General features: G+C 43.6%; 1 annotated feature.

Moving 5' to 3' along the window:
* Positions 721–1,623: an enhancer, noted in NCBI's record as "H3K27ac-H3K4me1 hESC enhancer chr21:19060700-19061602 (GRCh37/hg19 assembly coordinates)". NCBI's record gives its function as "activates a minimal SCP1, AML or CMV promoter by ChIP-STARR-seq in primed H9 embryonic stem cells {active_cell/tissue: H9 hESC(primed)}" and the evidence as "EXISTENCE:reporter gene assay evidence [ECO:0000049][PMID:30033119]".

Genomic DNA, 5,500 nt, shown 5'->3' on the forward strand with positions numbered 1-5,500 from the left:
AAAGAGGTTCTATTTTGATTTGTTTCAAGATTTAGAGCTCCTTTAAGCAGTTCTTGTAGTGGTGGCTTGGAAGTGGCAAATTCTCTCAACATTTGTTTGTCTGAAAAAGACTATTTTTTCTTCATGTATGATGCTTAGTTTCACTGCATACAAAATTCTTGGCTCATAATTGTTTTGTTTGAGGAGGCTGAAGGTACGTCCCCAATCCCTTCTAGCTTGTAGGGTTTCTGCTGAGAAATCTGCTGTTAATCTGATAGGTGTTCCTTTGTAGGTTACTTGGTGCTTCTGTCTTGTGGCTTTTAAGATTCTTTCCTTTGTCTTAACTTTGGATAACCTGATGACAATGTGGCTAGGCAAAGATCTTTTTGCAATGAATTTCCCAGGTGTCCTTTGTGCTTCTTGTACTTGGCTCTCTAGATCTCTCACAAGGCCAGGGAATTTTTCCTTAATTATTCCCTCAAACATGTTTTCCAGGCTTTTAGAATTCTCTTCTTCCTCAGGTACACCAATTTTTCTTAGGTTTGGTTGTTTAACATAATCCCAGACTTCTTGGAGGCTTTGTTTATATTTTCTTATTCTTTTCTCTTTGTCAGATTGGGTTAATTCAAAGACCTTGTCTTTGAGCTCTGAATTTCTTCCTTCTACTTGTTCAATTCTATTGCTGTGACTTTCCAGAGCATTTCAGATTTCTAAAAGTGTGTCCAAAGTTTCCTGAATTTTTATTGTTTTTTCTTTAAGTGATCTATATCCATGAATATTTCTCCCTTCACTTCTTGTATCAGTTTTTTGGATTTCTTTGCATTGGGCTTCACCTTTCTCTGGTCCCTCCCTGATTAGCTTATTAACTAACCTCCTGAATTCTTTTTTCAGGTAAATCAGGGATTTCTTCTTGGTTTGGATCCATTGCTGGTGAACAAGTGTGATTTTTTGGGGGTATTGAAGAGCCTGGTTTTGTCATATTACCAGGATTGGTTTTCTGGTTCTTTCTCATTTGGGTAGGCTCTGTCAGAGGGAAGGTCTAGGGCTGAAGGCTGTTGTTCAGGTTCTTTTGTCCCATGGGGTGTTCTCTTGATGTAGTACTGTCTCCCTTTTCCTATAGATGTGGCTTCCTGTGAGCTGAACTGCAGTGATTGTTGTCTCTCTTCTGGGTCTAGCCACCCAGCGAGTTTCCCAGCTCTGGGCTGGTACTGGGGTTTGTCTGCACAGAGTCCTGTGATGTGAACCATCTATGGGTCTCTCAGCTGTGGTTACCAGCACCTTTTCGGGTGGAACTGGCAGAAGGTGCAATGGGCTCTGTGAGGTTCCTTAGCTTTGGTGGTTTAATGCTCTATTTTTGTGCTGTTTGGCCTCCTGCCAGGAGGTGGCGCTTTCCAGAAAGCATCAGCTGCAGTAGTGTGGAGAGGGACTGGCAGTGGGTGTGGCCCTAGAACTCCCAAGATTATATGCCCTTTGTCTTGCACTACCGGGGTGGATAGGCTAGGACCACCAGGTGGGGGCAGGGCTGGGTGTGTCTGAGCTCAGACTCTCCATGGGCGGGTCTTGCTGCTGCTGCTGTGGGGGATAGGGTTGAGGTTCCCAGGTCACTGGACTTGTGTACCTAGCAGGATTATGGCTGCCTCTGCTGAGTCATGCAGGTTGTCAGGGAAGTGGGGGAAAGCCGGCAGTCACAGACCTCACCCAGCTCCCATGCAAACTGAAGGGCTGGTCTCACTCCCACCATGCCCTGGCCAACAGCCCAGAATCTGTTTCCAGGAGGAGGGTGAGATGGGCTTGAAAATTTGCCTGAGGCTATCCACCTCCCAGCTGGGAGAGAATAACGCTTTAGTTCTTCTCCTGCCTGTGAAGTCTGCATGCCTGATTCGTGCCCTCCCGAGTTCTTGCCCAGAGGCTTCTTGCCCTGTTCAAATTGTTACAAAGTTCAGCTAGAGAATTCCTTCTCCCTGTAGTTTCACCCCCTGCTCCTCTGGCCACCCTCCTGATGTGTGGTCCCAGGCAGGAACTGGCTGCTTAGGGACCCAGCGAGCTCCCAGGGCCTTTCTGCTGCTTCCTCTACCCCATATTTCACTCGGCTCTCTAACTGGACTCGGCACCAGGTAAAGTCGAAAACTTCTCCCTCAAACAGAACTTCGGTTTCTCCAGTGGGTGTGTGTGTCCAGGAGAGGTGGATCTTCCTTTCCCACTTCTATGGTTGGGACACTCACAGTATTTGGGGTGTCTCCCAGGTCCTGCAGGAGCAGTCTGCTTCCTTCAGAGGATCTGTAGTTCCTCTCGGTGTTGCTGGTTTGTTTTTGCAGTCAATGTATTTGACTTTTTAAAATTCTGGTCCAACGTATTTTAAATCCCCAATTCATGGGTTATAATCACAAAGACATAAGGATGAATTTGAGGCTCTGGAACTGAGCTCCTGGGTCTCTGTCTTGCCTGATCCTCTTAGCTGGAGGCAGAGTCAGAGCTCTGGGTTTAGGTCACTTGAGCAGGTACAGAATAGTGTGAGTGATGGATGGGTTAATATGCCTACCATCTCTTCTCTTAAGCACCAGGTGGGGAGAAGACCAAGCAGGGAGATGTCAAGTCCTCATGTCAGGGGCATTTGAACTAGAGTGACTCCATCTTGAATGGGGGCTAGGTAAAATAAGGCTGAGACCTGCTGGGCTGCATTCCCAGGAGGTTAAGGCATTCTTAGTCACAGGATGAGATAGGAAGTCAGCACAAGATACAGTTAACAAAGACCTTGCTGATAAAATAGCATGTGGTAAAGAAGCTGGCCAAATCCCACCAATGCCAAGATGGCGACAAAAGTGACTTCTGATCACTTTCATTATATGCTAATTGTCATTACACACTAATTAGAATGTATTAACATCCTAAAAGACATACCCACCAGCACAACAACAGTTTACAAATGCCATGGGAATGTCAGGGCAATCTAAAAAAAGGGGGAACCCTCAGTTCCAGGAATTGCCCACCCTTTTCCTGGGAAATTCATGAATAATCCACCCCTTCTTTAGCAGATAATCAAGAAATAAACATAAAAATAGGCAACCGGAAGCCCTTGGGGGTGCTCTGCCTATGGAGTAGCCATTCTTTTATTCCCTTACTTTCTTAATAAACTTGCTTTCACTTTATGACCTTGTCCTGGATTCTTTCTTACACAAGGTCCAAGAACCCTCTCTTAGAGTGTGGATCAAGACCCTTTTCTGTTAACGCTCAGATATCCCTTCAAGTCTTAGCTTGTGCTGACTTTCTTGGCTTAAGGCAATTCCAAACTTACTGCTCAGAAACTGGCTTTCAATTCCAAATTCCTGTTGCACTTGAGCTGTGTTCTTACATGCAGGTGTAGGAGGTTTTTGCTCCTTTGTTAGAGGTTAAAGCAGCAGTGAAGTAAGCCACCCCTGCTGCTCCTTAATTTATTTATTTTTTCATTTTCTCTCTGGTTTATTTGAAGGAAGAAGAACAGAACAATGTTAGCCCCTCTGAATCTTGAGTGTGGAAAATTACGGGGCCACCTACCAATTGTTACTGGCAGGAGACGTAATAAGAGAGCCAGGAGCTGGCAACTCTCCTTCCTCTGGCCAGGAGTTTTCTTCTTACTCATTAGCAATTATTTATCTGCTCTTTGGAAGGAGGAGTTGTTCCTCCTTGCACGTGCTGTGCTGAATGAACTCACCAGAAGGAAAATAATTTCACAGTGCATGTTTTTTTTTTTTTTTTTTGAGACGGAGTCTCGCTGTCACCCAGGCTGGAGTGCAGTGTCACGATCTCGGCTCACTGCAGGCTCCGCCCCCCGGGGTTCACGCCATTCTCCTGCCTCAGCCTCCCGCGTAGCTGGGACTACAGGTGCCCGCCACCTCGCCCGGCTAATTTTTTGTATTTTTAGTAGAGATGGGGTTTCACCGTGTTAGCCAGGATGGTCTTGATCTCCTGACCTCTTGATCCGCCCGCCTCGGCCTCCCAAAGTGCTGGGATTACAGGCGTGAGCCACCGCACCCGGCCTCATAGTGCACGTTTTTAAAGCTCCCTCCATGGTAGGAAAGTTTTTGTGGAACAGAAGAAAATTGGAGGTTAGCAATCATTTTATTATTTTGTTAAATGAAGAAAGCCAGGAAAAATAAAATTCCTGGTAAAGAAAGAGTTGCTTCAGTTTACTGCTCTGGGGTGGCTTCTCCAGTGATTCTGGCCGGTGCATTAGGAAGCCAAGTTTGCATTTTGGAGGTTGTGGACTCAGCATATGAGTCAAGTTTCTTTGCAAAGAAAACCTGAGGGTTTTGTTGTATTCTAATTTATAATTAGGCATTAGGCAAAGTAGCAATGAAGGATCTTACTTCAGCAGGTTTACTGCTTGATTTTGCTTTTGGTTCTACTTAGCAACTTTAAGTAGAGTAAAGGAAGCAGCTATACTCCTTCAGGGAATCAAGATATGACAATTGGACATTTGGATATTCATGTGTTTTTTTAGGATGGAACCTCTATAAATGGAATGACACTTCTAAGGTCCAAAAGTAAATATAAATTTTAAATTGTTCTTTTAAATCTATGCACATTTCTCAGAATCTCAGAAAAAATAAACATTCCAAGAATAAAATGTGATTTGTATTATTTCTACTAAAAAAAAAAAAAAACTCCCAAGCCAAATACCAAAGCAATGCACATCTGTTGAAATTAGGAATACAGTTATTAAATAAAGCTAAAAAATACACATCTGAAAAATAAAAGGCAACACAAAGATTAGTGACTTGCTACTATTTTTTATTTGATTTTATTTGCACGTTAGCAATCCTGAAATTAAAAAGAGTCGCACCTTGAAAGATAAACTAAGTATTCATGGTTTTTATTTTTTATTTTATTTGTTTATTTTTTTGAGACAAAGTCTCACTCTGTTGCCCAGGCTGGAATACAGTGGTGCGATCTTAGCTCACTGCAACCTCCGCCTCCTGGATTCAATCGATTCTCTGCCTCAGCCTCCTGAGTAGCTGGGATTACAGGCGCCCACCACCACGCCTGGCTAATTTTTGTATTTTTAGTAGAGACAGGGTTTCACCATCTTGGCCTGGCTGGTCTTGAACTTTGGACTTCGTGATCCACCTGCCTCAGCCTCCCAAAGTGCTGGTATTATAGGCGTGAGCCACTGCACTCGGCCTCTTGGTTTTTATTTTTACAAGATAGAAGTTCAAGGGATTATTTTGAAGTGAAAATAATAGTGTTACTTTTGGTGGTTAAATGATTGCTTTACCATTCCAAGCACTTTTGACATCCATGGTGGAGGAACTTTGTTTAAGCCAGAAGAAAGGTTTTCCATGCGGCTCTCCTTACAGTGCTTTCTAGAGATGGGCTATGACACACAGCGACACTGGTTAATAATAGTACTTCCCTATGAGTGAACATTTTAAGTATGGTTAAAAAATAGGTAACAAATGATGCAAAAGCAATATAGCTGATCTAGCTAAAATGTTGCTTTATAAAAACTAGATATCTTGGCACCATCTTTGCCTTTGTCCCGTCT

Source organism: Homo sapiens, chromosome 21 (genome assembly GCF_000001405.40).
Source record: "Homo sapiens chromosome 21, GRCh38.p14 Primary Assembly".
NCBI classification, from domain to species: Eukaryota; Metazoa; Chordata; class Mammalia; order Primates; family Hominidae; genus Homo; species Homo sapiens.